This window comes from Homo sapiens, chromosome 1 (genome assembly GCF_000001405.40).
Source record: "Homo sapiens chromosome 1, GRCh38.p14 Primary Assembly".
Taxonomy (NCBI): domain Eukaryota; kingdom Metazoa; phylum Chordata; class Mammalia; order Primates; family Hominidae; genus Homo; species Homo sapiens.
The window spans coordinates 161468759-161487925 of record NC_000001.11 but is presented as its reverse complement, the minus strand read 5'-3'; the positions used below and the strand labels follow the sequence as shown (position 1 = coordinate 161487925).

Genomic DNA, 19167 nt, shown 5'->3' with positions numbered 1-19167 from the left:
GGTATCACCTCAGACAATGAGGCCATTTCATTGTGGGGGCCCATCTAGGATCCAAAGTAGATTCATCAGAAGGGTGAGGATAGGAGCAGACTCCAAATATTTACTTTCATTTCAGGGCCTTCTGCCCTCAATTTTAAAATTAAACTAAAAACTGAGTGTCTGATGGCCAGTTTAAAACCTTTAAGGTGGCCACGGATCTCAAGACTCAGATGACACACTTGGTGGGAGGATCTTGGCAAACACCCCAGTGGCCTCAGAGTGCTGGGAAAGTTCGCTCTGTTTAAACCAGTTTCCTTTCATGGAGATCCTAGCTGTCATGTTGGGCTGGAAAAGGTCCAGAGGCAACTGATGGTTCCAGGCAAGGGCCACACCCCTGTATTACCTGAAGGCTTCTGGAGTAACCCAAGCCTCCAACTGCCACACTGTTGGGTGTCAGCAACAGGATCTCCAGCTTTTCCTATGGCAATTTTCCTGCTTTCTTGTCCGTAATCACCATGTCTCTTATCCAGTCTCTGTATGCAATGCTGTGGGAATTCATACAGCTCAGGAAAATAATCCTGTTAGTCAAGATCAACAAATGCCATCGTAACCAGGAATATAGCTAAAGGGAATGCCATTTTTGTGATTTTTCTAGGAACAAAAAGTTTCGCACCACCACCCCACCCTTGCCCCCAGTGAACATCTCTCTCTCTCCCCTTGGTTTGGAGAGCACATGGTATTTAAACAGCGCCACCTAGTGGAATAGAAATCCTCTCCATGAGCCATCTTGGCAAAGCCCTTTACTGAAACACTCTATTTTCTAATTCTTCTCCCTTTTTGCTCCCCTCTACTAGAGACCAGGCTGTATGTCCCATCTATGAATAGGAAAACTCAACAATGAGAGAAAAATGTCCTCTAAAACCAAATTTTAGCCCCAATACTGTTACATCAGCAGAAAAACCGCCATTCGGTCCCTACAATCTTTTAAGACACCTATTTTCCTCCAACTAAAATGGTACTTAAATAATAAGGAGATTTTATGTCCAGAAGTTAACCACAACCACTGCCTAAGAATAAATGCTTTATTCTTAGGCCACAATAGCAGATTATAGAACTCAACTAAGTACATTCCCTTCATTAATGGGCCTTGCCAAATACAACTGTTACATAGTCTTTCCTGAGGTCTATCTATCGGGGAGCCATACGGATCACACAAGTCTAGGAAGTCAAAGGGAAATCACAAGCGGACTAGAGTCACATGGGTGAGCATGACTAACTCCATCATTTGGCTCCTCTGGATCCATGGCTGCAGGTCATGCCTGCATCCATGGGTGGCACCTTTAGTGGATGCCAGGGCCCAGGGAACCAAGGAGGGAAAACAGTTGGGAGCATGCCCCCACTGTCTTCCTCTCAACCTTGGGCCATTCCAAAGGAAGGAGGGAACAAAGGACTCCTTTTGAGTGTATTCTAAAGCACTGAGACTCCTTTGACCCTGAAACTCTGCTTTTGCACAAGGGCAGGGCCTTCTTATTAGACTTTTTCAAGCACTGCACAATCGACCCAGTTATTTTAGTAGTCATATCAGGCAGGCCCAAAGGGAATGATTCCCCAAAATTAGAGAAGCAACTCCTGGGGGAACCATCTGAGGCAGTGATTGAGTGTCCTGGCCCTTTTTGTCCCCCTTATTCAGAGCCCCCTCCAACATTTTCATCAGCTCCTCCAGTTCTACCATCTCCACAACTCCCCACTCTCCCAACTTTGTTCTTACCCCTACATGAAATGCCCAATGAAGGTGATGCCATCTTAGGGTTCAAGTTCTCTTGTCATTACAGGACCTTAGGCAAATGAAGGGAGACTTAGGCTGATTCTCTAATGACCCTGGTAGGTATATATAAACTTTCCAAAATTTAACTCAGGTGTTTGACCTCACATAAAGGGACATTATGCTGCTCTTAAGCCAAACCCTAACCACAGCTGAAAAACAGTCAGCTCTACAGACAGCAGAGAAGTTTGGAGATGAGGAATATGTCTCCTATAGTAGGCCAAAAAGGAAAAGAGAAAATATGGAAGGCAAAGAAATAGGGGAATCATCATTCCCAATAGGAAGAGAGGTGGTACCTCTTGACAACCCTGAATGGAACTCCAGTGACTCCAAAGATGAATGGAAAAGGAAACACTTTTTAATGTGCATATTGGAGGGCCTACAAAGAACTAGAGCCAAACCTCTTAATTACTCTAAACTGTTCATGAATAGACAAAAAGCCAGATGAGAATCCCTCAGCCTTCATGGAAAAGCTGAGAGATGCACTAATAAACACACCTGCTTATCCCCTTACTCAGTCGAGGGATAACTCATCCTAAAGAACAAGTTTATTACACAGGCAGCTCCCAATGTTAGAAGGAAACTGCAGAAGCAGGCTATAGGACCAGATAGGACATTGGAAAACCTCCTGAGAGTGGCCACCTCGGTCTTTTATAATAGGGACCAGGAAAAGGCCCAGGAGAAAGAGAGAAAACACTAGAGAAAGACAGAGTTTCTAGTAGCTGCTTTGCAAGCTTGCAAAGTCCAGGATCCCCAAGGTGCATCCACTAGTGGCTACCAGTGTGGCAAGTAAGAGCACTTTAAGAAAGATTGTCCAGGCAGCAAGAAGAAGCTACCTCAACCCTGCCCAGCTGATATCAGGGACCACTGGAGATTAGACTGTCCCCAGAGATGGAGGTCACTGGGTTCAGAACCAATCTCACAGATGCTCCAACAGGACTGATGGGTCCCAGAGTTGAAAACCCTGGCTCCAGAGGCTCAAACTTCCATTTCTGCTCAGGAGCCCCAGGTGATTCTGGAAATTGAAGGAAGGAGGGTGGACCTCCCCTGGACACTGGATCCAGTCTCTCTCTCTTCTCCTTTCCAATCCAGGCCTCCCATCTTCCCATAGCATGACCATGATGGGCATCTCAGGAAAGATTCTAACCTAATATTTTTCTCAGCCCATTACTTGCAGTTAAGGGGACCTATTATTTACACATGTCTTCCTAATTGTGCCTGAAAGTCCCACTCCTTTACTAGGTAGAGACAATTTAGTTCACATGGCCACCAGCATCCTTATAGCCCCAGAAGAAACTCTTTGTCTTCCCCTGGTGGAAGCTAATATTAATACAGAAGTATGGGCAACTGAAGGAAGAATAAGGTCGAGCTTTAACCACTAGGCCGGTCCAGATCAACCCTAAGGATCCTACTTATTTTCCTAACCAGAGACAATATCTTCTAAAGTCAGAAGCTAGGAAAGGGCTATAAGCCATTATTAATAACCTGAAAATGCAGGACCTCCTCAAACCCTGTAAAAGCACCTGCAACACCCCAATATTAGGAGTACAAAAACCCAATGGGGAATGGAGAGTAGTTCAGGACCTCTGCCTCATTAATAGGCCATAGTCCCAATTCATCCAGTGGTCTCTAATTCCTATGCCTTGCTAACTCAAATACCTGAGGGAACTAAATGGTTCACAGTCCTAGATCTAAAGGTTGCCTTTTTCTGTATACCATTATATCCTAACTCTCAATACCTGTTTGTCTTCTAAGTTCTGGCCAAACAACCTAGTTAACATGGATGGTGCTGCCTCAGGAATTTCAATATAGTCCTCACTTGTTTGGAAAGGCACTATCAAAGGACCTCTCTGAGTTTTCTCATCCTCAGGTCAGGGTCTCACAATATGTAGATGACATCCTGCTCTGTGCCCCAACTGAGGAAGCTTCTCAGGAAGACACAGAAGCTCTTCTTAATTTCCTAGCTGACAAAGGATATGAGGTTTCAAAATCCAAGGTGCAGCTTTGCCAAACCTCAGTGAAGTACCTAGGTTTACTGTTGTCTGAAGGGACCAGAGCATTAGGGGTAGAAAGGATTGAACCCATTTCTTCCTTCCCCCTTCCTAAGACCCTCAAGCAACTAAGAGGATTTTGGTACATGACAGGATTTTGCAGACTATGGATACCTGGGTATGGTGAGATAGCTCACCCCTGATAACACCTCATAAAAGAAACTCAGCTGGCTAAAACTCATTTCCTGACCTTGGAACCTGAAGTTCAAAAGGCCTTTAACCAGCAAAAACAAGCCTTACTTAAGGCACCAGCCCTCAGCCTTCCCATAGGGAGGGCCTTCAATCTTTATATATTAGAAAGGAAGGGAATGGCACTGGGAATTTTAAGTCAAGCCTAAAGATCATCTCAACAACCAGTGGGCTACCTGAGTAAGAAACTTGATTTGGTAGCTAAAGGATGGCCAGCATGCCTCTGAGCAGTAGCAGCAGTGGTCCTACTGGTACCAGAGGCTACCAAATTATCCCTGGGAAATGGCAGAACTCTTTATACCTCCACGTAATGTAGTAGGATTGCTGTCCTCTAGGGGAAACCTTTGGCTAATGGACAGACGGCTCTTTAAATATCAGGCTCTGCTGTAAGAAGGGCCTATAATCCAGTTAAAAACTTGCTCTCACCTAAACCCAGCCGCTGTCCATCCCTAGGAAACTGGGAAACCTAAAGATAACTGTGAGCAAGTTGTGGTACAGACCTCTGCAGCCAGGGAGGATCTCAGTGAAACCCCTCTAGAAGATACAGATTGTACTCTCTTCAAGGACGGAAGTTCCTTTGTGGAGCAAGAACTCCATCAGGCAGGATATGCAGCAGGCACTCTAAATATTATGGAACGTGTGTCTTTCTCTCTCCAGGCACAAGCACACAACTAGCTAAACTGATATTTCCTACAAGAGCACTAGAATTAAACAAGTGAAAGGTAGCTAACATTTAAACTGACTCCACGTATGCTTTCTTAGCTCTTAATGCACATGCTGCCATTTGGAAATAAACACACTTTCTTAACACTAATGGCTGTACTTATTTTTCTTCCTGAGATAGGTTTCTAAGTATTCCCTTTTATCGACCTCCTGTCCAAATTCAGTTAGTTTCCCTTCTGGTTAATGATAGCCATCCTAGCTGGGATAAAATGACACCTCATCGTGGTTTGGATTTACATTCCCTGATGATTGGACATACTGAGCATTTTCTTCATATACCCGTTAGTTGGCCATTACTATGTGTTTATTGTACACATTCTAATAAGATTAGGTGGTGTGCATAGGTGCCAGCAGTTGCCTGTTTGCACGTGCGTCTGTGCCTATATTTGTGCAAGGCAGAGTTCCTGCATGTATGCAAGCTCCCACTTACAGTTGACAAGTTTAAGTTTCTCACCTATTCTGGATGTGAAAATGAATTTGAGAAGTCCCAAGAGTTAGACCAACCTGGCAACGGATTTTGAAGCACGGAGATACAGGAGCTCCTGGGGAAAACCCAACAGCCAAGCAAACCAAAGCATGTGTGGAAAGTCAGGGTTCAAGATAGATATCTAGGTGACATTTATTTCCCATTTCTTCACCTACTCTATCTTCTCTCCAAATGGCAAGGAACATAAGGAGATGGCACCTATCTGCAACACCTATATTTGCTGTGGAATTTCTTCCCATCCCCTCCTTGGAACAGATCAGCCCAGCTCTCCAACCCTCTATTTATCCCTGCATTGATCTTTTTGTGGGGCTGATTCCCTCACTAAAAAGCAGAGCTCAGTCGACTTACTGCCAAAACACTCTTTAGGGTCAAAGTAGACGCCCAACCAACTGCACAAACCTGTCCCGTGTCATTCGTGGGATCTTGGCACAGTTGGATCACCCGCAGAGACCAGACCCGATCAGGGATAGAGATGTTTGCCATCCCCACGGGAGGCTAGCTTGCTTGCCAGCGTGATGTGGGTGGATGTCAACGGGTGACAGTGATGGACGAAGGTGTCCATTCCTGTGGCCGGAGTCCACCCCACACTGGGGCAAGGGGCTGAAACCAAAGAAAGGACAGAAGCATGCCACATGCTGGGAGGTGGGAGAAAGAGTCCAGAGTGTCCAGGGGGTGCACAGGCTGACTAGCAAGATCTGGGACCGAGGCTGTCCATCCAGAAGGAGGTTGGTCACATGCCTAGGGCATTGGGGCATGTTCCAAACTGCCTGTGCTGGCTACCTGTGCGGTATGAGGGATGCCAGCTGGTGACACAACCTGAAGCAGCCCAGGACTGGGGGATGTGAGTCATGTGAGACAGGGTCATTGACTGCAAGAGGGAGAGTTGCCTGAGAGAGAGACACTGAGAGTGAGAGAGAAAAACAGAGAGACAGAGAGAGAGTGTGTGTGTGTGTGTGTTTGTGTGTGTGTCTGTGTGTGAGTGAAAGAGCAGATGGGGTGAGACAAAGGCAGGGGAGGGAGGGCTGAGCCTGAAGGCTGGATGGAACAGTACTTTTTCAGAGGGTTGGTCTGGGAAGGAATGAAGTCTGTGTGGACAAAGGGGACCCCCACCAGCGAGACTGGGATGCTGTTTGGGCTAGGCTGTCAGAGTATGGAGTGGGGCTGGGGTGAGGTGGCAAGCAGCCCAGGGTGGGAGAGACATCGTGACAGAGTGACTGGAGGCGACATCCCACGTCCCAAAGGGGTAGGGAATGCAACTGGACCCGAGACATAAGTAAGCCGTCTTCAGGATACACATTCACGTCTCAGGCATGTGTCTGGGGCTGAGATGAAAAGAGGTCCAAGGGAGAGAAACAAGGCAGCATCCTCGACTAAAGTGGTGGATTGGGGTTAGGTTGGGAGTTGTGACATGGCGGTGGTGGTGCCGACAGAATGAGGGGAGAGAGTGTGGAGTAGCTGGAACACGTTGAATATAGATGGTGCACATGCCACGTGCACACTCACGTGGTCGCGTTAAGGACTGTGTGACCAACTAGGGGAAAGTGATGAGTTACTCCCCAGAGTCGCGTCTTCCTTGCTACTGGAAGGGCAACCATGGCATCATTTTCTGGATGTGGGGAGCCAGCGAGAGGGAGAGAGAGAGAGAGAGAGAAAGAGGTCGAGGTGGTGAAATGTGAAGAGAAGAGGTGGGGCAAGTGGCTACAAGCCCTGTGGTGCCTGGCGGTATTCCTTGAAGTGAAATGCGTCAGGCAGAGGTGGTGGCAGGGCAATGAACAGAAACAGGACCAGGAGGCTGTCAAGGGCTGGTGTCTGGTGCACTATTGTGTTTGGAGGGATTGTTGTTACCCAGGTGGGGGGGTGGGGGAGAGCCTCATCCTTAAGTCAGTCAAGAGAGGCATGGAAGAAAGGGCAGAGGGGCGTCATGCGTGGGAGCGCAGCCAGTGCAGGACAAGCTCACGTGCCCCGAGTGTAAGGAGGCGGCAGAGGCGAACGCAGCTACGCCTTGGTGCTGCTGCAGCACCAAAATGGGAGGGCGTGCTGCATGGGCCAGGAATCAAACCTGGGCCTCCTGCGTGGCAGGCAAGAATTCTACCACTGAACCACCTATGCACTGATGGCAAATGCCAATGGAAGCTGTCACAGCAGAGCTCGCCACCAGCCACCCTTCACTGGTCACAACCTGCCATGGGCCTCCGTCCCATTGGAGCATCCACGAAAGACTGGCCCAATGTGGCGAGCAGAAGGGGAGGCTCTCGTCACGTTGAGGTACCTGGGGCACAGCACAGAGGGATAGCAGAGGGAGAGAGGCCGACTCGTCCCATCTTGTGCTTTCTCAGCTGCCCAGGGCCGAGAGACTGACCGCCGGGGTCGCCAGGGAAAGTGTGTCCAGAATTGGTGGGTTCTTGGTCTGGCTGACTTCAAGAATGAAGCCACAGACCCTCGTGGTGAGTGTTACAGTTCTTAAAGATGGTGTGTCCAGAGTTTCTTCCCTCAGATGTTCAGATATGTCTGGAGTTTCTTCCTTCTGGTGGGTTCGTGGTCTCTGACTTCAGGAGTGAAGCTGCAGACCTTCCCTGTGAGTGTTACAGCTCTTAAAGGCGGCACGTCTGGAGTTGTTCGTTCCTTCTAGTGGGTTTGTGGTCTCGCTGGCTCCAGGAGTGAAGCTGCAGACCTTTCTGGTGAGTGTTACAGCTCTTAAAGGTGGCGGCATGGACCCAAAGAGTGAGCAGCAGCCAGATTTATTGCCAAGAGTCAAAGAACAAAGCTTCCACAGTGTGGAAGGGGACCCGAGCGGATTGCCCCTGCTGGCTGCCCACTGCTGGCTTGGGCAGCCTGCTTTTATTCCCTTATCTGACCCCACCTGCATCCTACTGATCAGTCCATTTTACAGAGAGCTCATTGGTCCATTTTACAGAGAGCTGATTCATCCATTTTACAGAGAGCTGATTGGTCTGTTTTGACAGGGTGCTGATTTGTGCATTTACAATCCTTTAGCTAGACACAGAGTGCTGATTGGTGCATTTACAAACCTTGAGCTAGACACAAAGTGCTTATTGGTGCATTTACAATCCTCCAGCTAGACATAAAACTTCTCCAAGTCCCCACCAGATTAGCTAGATACAGACTGCTGATTGGTGCATCCATGAACCCTAAGATAGACACAGAGTGCTGATTGGTGCATATACAATCCTCCAGCTAGACATAAAAGTTCTCCAAGTCCCCACTAGACTCAGGAGCCCAGCTGGCTTCACCTAGTGGATCCTGCACCAGGGCCATGGGCGGAGCTGCCAGCCAGTCCCGCACATGCTCCCGCACCCCTCAGCCTTTGGGCGGTCGATAGGACTGGGTGCCATGGAGCAGGGGGCGGTGCCCATCGGTGAGGCTCAGGCCAAGCAGGAGCCCACCGTCCGGGGGGGGGGGGGCTCGGGCATGATGCAAGGAGGCAGCTGAGGCCCGGTGAGAATTTGAGCATGGTGCAGGTGGGCCGGCAGTGCTGGGGGACCTGACGCACCCTCCACCGCTGCTGGCCCAGGTGCTAAGCCCCTCAGTGCCTGGGGCCAAGCCTGCACCCACCCGGAACCTGAACTGGCCTGCAAGCACTGCACACAGCCCCAGTTCCTGCCCGTGCCTCTCCCTCCACACTTCCCCACAAACAGAGGGAGCCCACTCTGGCCTCAGCCAGCCCAGAGAGGGGCTCCCACAGTGCAGCAGTGGGCTAAAGGGCTCCTCAAGTGCAGCCAGAGTGGACACTGAGGCCAAGAAGGCACCAAGAGCGAGCGAGGGTTGCTAGCATGTTGTCACCTCTCAATCCCCCCTCTAAACAGGACACCCCAGCTGCTTTTGGGAATTTGGCCAATGACTGCTCTAGCTACTTCTTTCTGGATAGAGGTGATGAATGGACCCTGCAGTTATAGTGTCCTCCAGGCTGGAAATCTCTAGGCCAGTGAAAGTGGCAGCAGTCTAGGGGTGCTCCGTAGAAGTTGTTAATTGAACTCATTTGGGGTTCCATTTGTAAGACCATCTGAGGCTTGGTGGCCTCGATTCTAGAGGAAACAAATTTGACAAGAAGGTTAAAGATACAGGGCCCAAAGGCGAGTAACAGCAAGATGGCTGCCAGGGGACCTAGAAAGAGGAGAAGCCATGTTGCCCAACTCCAGAGGTTGGTATAAGAGTTTGAAATACGTTGTCTGATACAGAAGATTTTGGCTGTAAATTCTAGGCAGGATCTCATACTATCCCTGACTGGTTAGTGTAAAAACAACACTCTTCCCCTAAGAAGGTGCAGAGTCCTCCTTTCTCAGCAGTGAGGAGGTCTAGGCCTCAGCAGTTTTGGAGAGTCACTGCTGCCAAAGAGTCTATTTGGGATTGTAGAGTAAGGATAGATTTCTTTATTTCTTGTAAACTGTCTGAGAGGCAGATATTGGTTGAAGTTCCACATAAGAAGACTATGCCTTGGCTGGGTAGACAGAAATTTACCCTGGCTTTTACAGGAATAGGGTACACTGTTTTTTTCTTACTGCTTCCATCTCTCTTTCTTTCTCTTTGACTTCTTTGTCTCTGTCTCTCTCTCTCTGACTCCCTCTGTGTCTCTGTCCCTTCCTCTCTCTCTCTCTCTGACTTTCTGTCTCTTTCTCTCTTTCCTTTCTGCTGGTCTTTCCCTGCCTCTGCCAGCTGCTTATGGTGCTGTTCTCTCCTCTCCTTCCCCATTTTGATGGCTTCAGCAATGTAAGACTGCCACCTCCTTGGGTTTTTGCACTGTGTGCAATAACTCCATAATTTCCTTGTGCTATTTAATTGGGGTTCCCCCAGAGGTTAGGAACTCCCTTTCTCTCCATATTGCAGCATGGACATATAGGATTAGATAAACATACTTGCTATCTGTATACACATTTATTATTTTTCCCTTTCCCAGTTCTAAGACTCCGGTAATTGCCACTAGTTCTGCTAACTGGGCACTGGTCCCTGGGGGAAGAGGCTTACTTTCAAGTATGGTTACATCACTAACTATGGCATAGCCTGCCCTTCATACCCCATTTTCCACAAATGAACTTCCATCGGTATATAAGTTAAGGTCTGGATTAGCTAAGGGGACCTCTAAGAGATCATCTCGGGCAGCATAAGTCTGGACTATAATTTGTTGGCAGTCATGCTCAATTGGTTCCCATCCTCTGGGAGATAAGTGGCAGGGTTGAGGGCCATGCATGTATGTATTTGAAGCACCAGTCCCTCAAGGAGTAGCACCTGGCATCTAAGTAGGCAGTTGTCTGATAGCCATAAACTTCCTTTGGCACCTAGCATACCATTTACATCATGAGTAGTCCAGACAGTGAGATCCTTTCCTTGTATTATCTTGATAGCCTCTGACACTAAGATGGCCACCGCTGCAACTACCCTTAAACAGTGAGGCCAGCCTTTTGCTACTACATCAATATCCTTACTTAGGTAAGCCACTGGTTGTGGGGTTGTCCCACAAGTCTGAGTAAGGACTCCAATAGCTATCCTTGCTCTCTCTGTGATGTATAAAGAGAAGTTTTGTCCTGTCAGAAGGCTTAAAGCTGGAGCTTGTACTAGGGCCTGCTTTAAGGTTTTGAAGGTTGTTTCTGCCTCTGGTTCCCATTCTACTAGATGAGTATTTGCCCTCTGGGTTTTCTTGATTAGAGTATAGAGGGGCCTGGCTATCTCGCTGTACCCAGGGATCTATAGTCGGCAAGAGCCGGTGATTCCAAAGAACCCCTGAAACTGTTTTAATGTCTTAGGATGAGGATAAGCCAGTATAGGCTGTATTCATTCCTTGCTGAGGGCCCTGGTCCCTCTGGCTAAGATTAGGCCTAGATATTTGACCTCCTGTAGGCAAAGCTGGGCCTTCGACCTAGACACCTTGTACCCTTGATTAGATAGAAAGTTCAAGAGATCTAGAGTAGCCTGCTGGCATGAGGCTTCTGAACTGGTAGCCAAAAGTAAATCATCCACATACTGAAGGACCAGAGTGCCTGGACTTGAGAAGTGGTCTAGATCTTTGGCCAGTGCCTGACCAAACAGGTGAGGGCTATCCCTAAACCCTTGGGGCAAGACCATCCACGTAAGTTGGGACATGTGGTCTGCGGGATCCTCAAAGGCAAAGAGAAACTGGGAGTCATATTGCAGAGGAATGCAGAAGAAGGCATCCTTGAGGTCCAGAAGAGTGAACCATTCTGCTTCCTCTGGTATTTGAGAGAGCAGGGTATAGGGGTTAGGTACAACAGGATATAGAGGAATTACTGCCTTACTGATGAGTCTAAGATCTTCCACTAGTCTCCACTGACTGCTCGGTTTTTGTACTCCTAGAATTGAGGTGCTGCAGGGACTCCTGCATTTCCTTACTAAGCCTTGAGCTTTTAAATGTTTAACAATATCCTGTAATCCTTTATGAGCTTCAGGCCTTAAGGGATATTGCCTTTGATAAGGAAAAGTGGTGGGGTATTTTAGCCTGATTTGGACTGGGCGGGCATTTTTTGCCCTTCCAAATTGTCCTTCCAATGCCCAGACTTCAGGGTTGATTCCCTCCTCAAGTAGGGGACAACAAATGGATAACTTGTTCCCCATATTCATGTAGATAATAGCTCCAGCCTTGGCTAATATATCCCTCCCTAATAAGGGTGTGGGACTTTCAGGCATAACAAGAAAGGCATGTGAAAAGACCAAGTCTCCCAATTACAACTGAGGTAGTGGGAGAAACACCTGGTTACAGGCTGTCCCAGGATTCCTCGGATGGTAACGGACCTTGAGGACAGTTGTCCAGGACAGGAGGTTAATATTGAGAAGGCTGCTCCAGTGTCCAGGAGGAAGTCAATTTCCTGGCCCTCAGTGGTTAAACTTAACAGGGGCTCAGTGAGGGTGATGACATGAGCTGGCACTTGCCCCGGGCACCCTCAGTCCTGTTGTTGGATCATCTGGTTGGGGGCTTCTGACCCGGAGAACCTTTGTCCTCTGGGGCAGTGCACCTTCCAGTGATTGCCTTGGCATAGCGGATATGGATGAGGGGGTGGCTTATTTTTCGTTGGACAATCTTTGTTAAAGTGTCCTCGTAAACCACACTGATAACAAGCCCTACCATGTGATTGGCCTGCTCCATTTTCTGTCCTCTCTGAACCACCAAGGTTTGTTTGTCTGAGGGCCATGACTAAGGCTACAGCCTTTCTCTGACCTCACTTTTCCTTTTGGGCCTGTTCCTCTTGGTCCCTATTATAGAACACTGAGGTTGCTAGGTTTAACAATGCCTCCAGATTTTGTCCAGGGCCCATGGCTTGCTTTTGGAGATTTCTCCTGATATCTGCAGCTGATTGGGTAACAAACTTATCTTTTAGAATCAGTTGACCCTTGAGTGATTCAGGTGACAGGGGAGTATATTTTCTTAAGGCCTCCCATAGCCACTCAAGGAACGCAGAAGGATTTTCTTCCTTTCCCTGAGTTATGGTGGACATCATTGAATAATTCATGGGCTTTTTCCTAATTCTCCTTAGTCCTTCTAGAACACAGGTCAACAGATGTTTATGACTCCAGTCCCCATGATCTGAGTTGAAGTCCCAGTGGGGATCCATACTGGGGATGGCTTGCTGACCAGTAGGGAATTTGTCCTTTTCTTCAGCTGTCATTCTATCATTTACTTGACTAAGATGCCAGGTATCTCCAAACTCTCAGGCTGCAGCTAAAGCTGCATTCTTTTCATTAAAGGCCAGGGTTTGATCTAACAGTAGCATGACATCTCTCCAAGCAAGGTCGAAACTTTGCCCTAGACCCTGTAGGACATCTATGTACCTATCAGGATCATCTGAAAACTTCCTCAGGTCTGCCTTGATCTGCTTTAAATCAGAGAGGGAGAAGGGGACATGTACCCAGGTTGGGCCAAATTACCCTCCCCATACAGCTTGAAGGGGACATAACCGATAGCCCGGGGGGGTTGTGGTCCTTCGGAGATTTCTTTGCTTATTTCCTTCTGGGCAGGGGAGATCAAAGGAGGATTACCATTAACAGGAAGGGGAGCTATAGGGAGGCTAGGATATGGGAGTAAGCTGAGAGATCCTCCTGTGGGATGTAAATTGTAAGCTTTGCATAGTTGTGTATCCTCCTTCAATGAAAAGAAAGCTTGAACATAAGGTATTTCACTCAATTTGCCTTCCCTCTTACAGAAAAGCTCAAGCTGCAGGATAGTATTGTAATTTGTACTTCCCTCAGGTGGCCATTTTTCCCCATCAGAGAGAGAATTCTGGGGCCAGGCCATAGGGCAGAAAAAAATGAGCTGTCTCTTTTTCAGGGTTTGTGGGTCAAATTGGTCCCAATGGCTTAGGATGCGTTTCAAGGGTGAGCCTGTTGATGCCTGAGTATTTCCCATCTGAAAGACAAAACTGCCCACAGTTTTGGTTTGTTTTGTTTCTCCCCCTGCCCAAGAACCCACAACGGTCCCTGGACCCTGCTGATCAGAATAGTTGCACTCACCAATGCAGCAGCAGAAACACTAGTTTTCCTCCCAGACCACAAGGAGGACCGGGGAAGGTCAGATTTAGTGGCCCTTGCTGACGCATTCTCAAAAACCTGCAGGCTTCCCTGTCCTCCTGTTAGTATTGGGACCTTACCTGTGTCCTATAAAGATGTTATGCCCCAAAAATGAAGTGGAGGGCCATACCCTGAGGGAGGCAAGGGATCTCAAGGGTTGGAACAGTGACACTTTTGTCCTCACTTATATGAATAGGAAGGATACAATTTCTGAGGCTCCCCATATCCTAGCTTCGGGAATAGCTTTGTTTAGGCGTACTGGTCTGAGGAGGGATCCTAAAATTCCAGGGAGTACCCCCTACAATAGGGCTTTGGACAAAAATTATGTCTTTCTGATTGGTGAGCCTGGGTGCCTAAAGAAGGTAACAGAGTCCTGGAGTTATACTAGAAATCATTCTTATAGGAGAAACTAGAAAAGCACCAGAGACAGGGAATGATTTCTAGAAGCAGGACTACCCTCAGAGAAGAGAGTTGAGAGGAAGTTTGTCTGGCAGGCATTAGGACCCAGGGGACAAGGGTCAGGATAGAGAGGATAGATGGGCGAGTCTCGCTTCGGCGACATGCCTTTCAGAGTTCTGCTCATGTCCACAGGGTCAACCAACTTGTTGTGGGGACCCCAAAGCTGGATGGCTTTCCTCTCTGTCGACCATCAGCTCAGCCCAGAAGCACAGGAAAAGCGGAAGCTGGTTCCAGGCAAACCAATGCTCCCAACTCCGAAGAGTTGGGGGTTGTTACAGAGCTCTTTCCCAGAAAGCCTGAAAACCGTGTCTTTAGTCCAGCAGCCACACTACTTGCTTTTAACTGGCCGACAGGTGCCCGGTATTTAGCCCCCAAATTATAAGGAAAAATGAGACAGAATACCAAGTGAAAGGGGTCCGATGGCATTCATCACTTGGCAATAGGCGATAGTCCCATCTGGGTTGCCAAAATGTGTCTGGAATTGGTGGGTTCTTGGATTGGCTGACTTCAAGAATGAAGCCGCAGACCCTCGTGGTGAGTGTTAGGGATCTTAAAGATAGAGTGTCCAGAGTTTATTCATTCAAATGTTCAGATGTCTCCGGAGTTTCCTCCTGCCAGTGGGTTCGTGGTCTCGGTCCCTTCAGGAGTGAAGCTGCAGACCTTTGTAATCAGTGTTACAGGACTTCAAGGCACAGCGGATGCAAAGAGTGAAGAACAGCAAGATTTTTTGCATAGAGCGAAAAACCAAACCTTCCAAAGTGTAGAAGAGGAACTGAGTCGGTTGCCGCTGCTGGCTGCCGACTGCTGGGTTGGGCAGCCTACCTTTATTCCCTTATCTGACCTCATCCGCATTCTGACCCACTGATCACTGCCTGCCGTAGGCCTCCATCCTATTGGAGGGTACAAGACAGGCTGGCGCGATGAGGAGGGCAGAAGGGGAGGCTCTCCTCACATCCAGGCAACTGAGGTTGGGCGCGGAGGGAGAGCGGAGGGAGAGAGGTCGACTCGTCCCATCTTGCGCTTTCTCTGCCGCCCAGGGTCGAGAGACTGCCCGCCGGGGTCTCCAGGGGAAGGACCGGCCGTGGCCCGCGCCCGAATGCCCGTGTGGGCAGATTTGCTGTGGCGGGCCTTGCTGAGCACGGATCCCCGGCACAGACCCAGAGTTTTTGTGTTTTGTTTTTGTTGTTTCTTTCTTTCTTTCTTTCTTTCTTTCTTTCTTTCTTTCTTTCTTTCTTTCTTTCTTTCGTGAGGTGTTTTTTTTTTCACCACCGTGGGGCCAGCCTTCTCACTTGTGTCACCAGCAGGTGAGAGGCGGGATGGGTGTGTCAGCGAGCGGGGGCGGCGATGGGGAACGGGTCTCGCAGCCGTGGCGTGCGGCTCAGAAACGCAGACCAGGTCCGTGGTCGCCTCGCTCCTGCGCTCTGACCCACGCCACCGGCTCGCACTTGGGGTCCGGCCCCCTGGGCTGGTAGGGAGGCTGGAGCGCGAGAAAGGAGCGGAGGAGCGCTTCGGCAGAGCCGCAGCTGGCTGACCCTGGAGAAGGCGCGCTGGGTGTGGCTGGGACGGCCCAGGCCGCGGCTTCCCGCGTGGGGATGCGCTGTGGCGCAGAGCTGGTCCCGGCGGGGCCAGGCGTTTGTGGGCGGGTGACGGGGATCTAGGGCTTCCGCTCGTGATTCCTCTTGGGCTGTCTTTCCGGGTTTGGACTCGCCTGCCAGGCTGTGTGCAGGGTTCCCGCTGCCTCTGGCCGGCAGGCGTCCGGGCTGCAGGTGGGCCGGCAGGCAGGTGTTAGCGGGAAGGGAGCACAGGTAGCGAGGTGGGATCGGCGACCTGGCTAGGGTGTCGGCAGAATGGAATGCGCGGCCGGGGTCCGAGGGGTCGGAGGAAAGGACAGGATGTTGGATGGCGTGCCTCTGGTGGGAGACGTGTGTGCGGCTCCACGAGCGAGTCGCTCGCTGCTGCTCAGCGGTCAGAAGTTGGAGGGTGAAACCGGGCGGGCTGTTCAGGCCAGGACGCCTCTGGGCAGCGCAGCGGCGATTCAAGGCGGTGGGCGGTGGGCGCAGGCCGGTGGGAGGAAGGAGGGAAAAGGAGGAATAGGGGAAGAATCTGGGCTGTGTCTGTTTGGGCGAGTGAGGAGAAGGCGGGCGGAGGAGATAGGCAGGGAAGAGCGTGGAAGGTGGTCGCGGTCGCTCGCTGTGTGTGGGGCCAGGGAAGAGGGCGTGTGAGGTGGTGGGGAGGGCGTCTGTCCGAAGGGCAATTGGTAGAGGGTCGCGGGCGCTGGCGCATGGTCCTGGGCTGTTTCTGCGACAGCCGGCGGGTGGGCAGGAAGAACGGACGTGCCTGAGAAGCGGCGGCGTTTTGGAGGCTTGCTTCAAGGGGGCTGGAGTCTGGAGAGCGGGCAAGGGCTCAAGGCAGGAAGCGGCCAAAGGTGCTCCAGGGTTGCCATGGGCGTTGCCCTCCGGCGGGCGGGCCAAAAGGTCGGCTTGTCAGGAGTGGGATTCGAACCCACGCCTCCAGGGGAGACTGCGACCTGAACGCAGCGCCTTAGACCGCTCGGCCATCCTGACGGCGCGCCGGGGCGCGTCGCCGCTGGCATGGCTGGGACCCGGCGCGAACGCCTGCGCCCTTGGCCGGCGCCTGTCTGGGTTCGGTGCGCAACCGACGGACCGCGCGGGCGGAGCGGGCGCCAAGTGAACGGAGCCGGCTGGCGTTGGCGTGGACGCCCCCGCGTCCCCACCCCGGACCCAAAGGGTCCGCGTCGGGCCGGCCGCCGCCGGCGCACGCCCCAGCCCCCGCGCCTCCGCTCGCCGAACCCCGCAGGGCGTGCGCCCACCGCGTCCTAGGAGCAGCGGCCTGACTGTTTCGCCCGCGCCTCCTCCTGCCCCGGCGCGATCCCCGCGTTGGAGACAGCAGGCAGGGCGCGCGGGGAGGTTCCACGCCGCTCCGGTACCTGTCGGGGTCCGGCTCCGGCTCCGGGTCCCAGCGGGATCGCAGGGTGCTTTGTTGGGTGTCGGGGTAGGTCGTGCCAACGGTGGCGGGGGGCGGGTGGCAGGTGACGGGTGGCGTGTGGCGGGTGGCGGGCGGCGGGCGGCGGGTGGAAGGAGAGCACGCGCCCGGCCCCTGCCGTCGGGGGAGGGGATCAAGGCAGGGCTAGGCGTCCGCGGTCGGAGTGGGGTCTGGCGTCCCGGCGACCGTCGCCGTCGTCCTCGTTAGTATAGTGGTGAGTATCCCCGCCTGTCACGCGGGAGACCGGGGTTCGATTCCCCGACGGGGAGGCAGCCGTGCTTTTTGGGCCGCCGCCTCGGACCCAGCCTGTGGGCCCTCCTTCTCTCTCCTTCCTCCGCCCTCCCGCTAGTCGCAGGGCGCCATCTCGGGCCTGGCCCCTTGGCCCCCTGGGCCTCCTGGGCCCCCTTGGCCTCCTACCTTTTCTTCTCGCCCGCGGCTTGGTCGCCCGCAGCCGGGCGGCCTCCTCTGGCCCCCACGGCGCCCAGAGAGCTGCCGGCCCAAAGTGGGTGTCGGAAGAGGCTTTCTGCGAGGCACAGGGCCCGGCGCCCGGTGGGAGGCGGAGGAGTGGGGACCCCGTCGGCGCCGGCCGTGTCCCCGCCGGGCACCTGGTGGGGAAGGGCTCTGGCGGCCCCGGGCGGCGAGGGAGCGAGAGCGCCCCCAGAGGCAGGCGGGCGGAACGGGGCAGCCGCGCTGGCCTTGCCCCGGTGGGGCGCGGGGCGGCCTTTGGCGGGGCCGCGGCAGCGCGGAGCTGCGGGCGGGCGGACGGACCGGGCGTCGGGGCCGGCCTGCCCCGGGCGTCGGCGGCGCGCTGGTGGGAGCCCCGGGCCGGCGCGGCGGGGCTGCCCGCGCCGTGCGGCGTTGGTGGTATAGTGGTGAGCATAGCTGCCTTCCAAGCAGTTGACCCGGGTTCGATTCCCGGCCAACGCAGCGGGCGGACCTTTTGCGGAGGTCCCCGTCGCGGAGCTCGCGTCGCAGCTTGGCCTGTGGCTGCGTGCCTGTGCGCCGGGGAAGGAGGCGCGCGGTGTTTGGAGGGTGTGCTGCGAACAGGGCCAGAGCTGCTCGTGAGGGCAGGCCGGTTGCCGCCGGCGTCGCGGGGGCTGGTTGCGGGTGTTTGTTTTAAAGCGAAGCAGGGGACAGGCGCCAAGGTAGCGCCCAGTGCTGGGGCCAGAGGCGCTGGGGCCAGGAGGCGCAAGCCGGGCCCTGAAGCCGCCTCTCCCTGGTGGTCTAGTGGTTAGGATTCGGCGCTCTCACCGCCGCGGCCCGGGTTCGATTCCCGGTCAGGGAAGCCTTCCTTCGTTGGCTCTGCCTGCCAACTGCCAGGCCCCTTCACACCTCCCCTTTTGACCAACAGGCTGGCTCGCTTCTCCCGCGCCCCAGCCACAACCTCCCGCGGCTTCCACGTGCGCCGCCCCAACGCTCCCCGCCTACCTCCACCCATCCCTCCTTTTGGCCTCGCTGGCGCCACCTTCGCAACATCAGCTTCACAGCCCTTCCTTGTCAGGTGCTCGCCTCGCTCCCACTCTTTGTCAGCGGCAAAGCCCACTGGCCAGGTCAGGCTTTCTCCTCCCATGGCCGCCAGGTGACCCGCCACCACCACCACCGCCACCCTCGCACTCTCGGCTGGCCACGGGATGGGCCAGGACTCTCGAGCGGAGCGGCTTCTGCCAAGCCAAGCCGAGTGGCTGACGGGCCACTTCTCTCTCGGCTGCGGGGGATCTGCGCCTAATGGTTGGGCCACCCGCCAGAGCCACTCATGTCAGCAAGCGCACTGGCTTTCCCAAGGCGTGGGATCCGTGATTGGGCTCCACGGGTGTCAGCGGCTTTGGTAGTAATGGCAGCGGAACTTGAGGAGCCGAGACCACGGGCCATAGCGCTAGGGAGGCAGAGCTGCGACAATCACCCTGGCAGCATGACTATGTTTTTCT

At 52.7% G+C, this 19167-nt stretch overlaps 5 non-coding genes across 5 annotated transcripts, besides 3 other annotated features; 3 read left to right on the top strand and 2 right to left on the bottom strand.

Annotated features, from left to right (window-relative positions):
- Window positions 1-7289: 7289 nt before the first annotated feature.
- TRG-GCC4-1 (tRNA-Gly (anticodon GCC) 4-1) lies at window positions 7290-7360 on the bottom strand. Its single transcript has one exon. It is a non-coding gene; the product is annotated as a tRNA-Gly (tRNA).
- Window positions 14999-15553: an enhancer, noted in NCBI's record as "H3K27ac-H3K4me1 hESC enhancer chr1:161442163-161442717 (GRCh37/hg19 assembly coordinates)". NCBI's record gives its function as "activates a minimal SCP1, AML or CMV promoter by ChIP-STARR-seq in naive H9 embryonic stem cells {active_cell/tissue: H9 hESC(naive)}" and the evidence as "EXISTENCE:reporter gene assay evidence [ECO:0000049][PMID:30033119]".
- Window positions 15554-16109: an enhancer, noted in NCBI's record as "H3K27ac-H3K4me1 hESC enhancer chr1:161441607-161442162 (GRCh37/hg19 assembly coordinates)". NCBI's record gives its function as "activates a minimal SCP1, AML or CMV promoter by ChIP-STARR-seq in naive H9 embryonic stem cells {active_cell/tissue: H9 hESC(naive)}" and the evidence as "EXISTENCE:reporter gene assay evidence [ECO:0000049][PMID:30033119]".
- Window positions 16110-16664: an enhancer, noted in NCBI's record as "H3K27ac-H3K4me1 hESC enhancer chr1:161441052-161441606 (GRCh37/hg19 assembly coordinates)". NCBI's record gives its function as "activates a minimal SCP1, AML or CMV promoter by ChIP-STARR-seq in primed H9 embryonic stem cells {active_cell/tissue: H9 hESC(primed)}" and the evidence as "EXISTENCE:reporter gene assay evidence [ECO:0000049][PMID:30033119]".
- TRL-CAG1-5 (tRNA-Leu (anticodon CAG) 1-5) lies at window positions 16721-16803 on the bottom strand. Its single transcript has one exon. It is a non-coding gene; the product is annotated as a tRNA-Leu (tRNA).
- A 636-nt stretch (window positions 16804-17439) lies between these two features.
- TRD-GTC2-5 (tRNA-Asp (anticodon GTC) 2-5) lies at window positions 17440-17511 on the top strand. Its single transcript has one exon. It is a non-coding gene; the product is annotated as a tRNA-Asp (tRNA).
- A 586-nt stretch (window positions 17512-18097) lies between these two features.
- TRG-TCC2-5 (tRNA-Gly (anticodon TCC) 2-5) lies at window positions 18098-18169 on the top strand. The gene has a single exon. It is a non-coding gene; the product is annotated as a tRNA-Gly (tRNA).
- Window positions 18170-18455: 286 nt separating this feature from the next.
- Window positions 18456-18527, top strand: TRE-CTC1-5 (tRNA-Glu (anticodon CTC) 1-5). Its single transcript has one exon. It is a non-coding gene; the product is annotated as a tRNA-Glu (tRNA).
- Window positions 18528-19167: the final 640 nt, after the last annotated feature.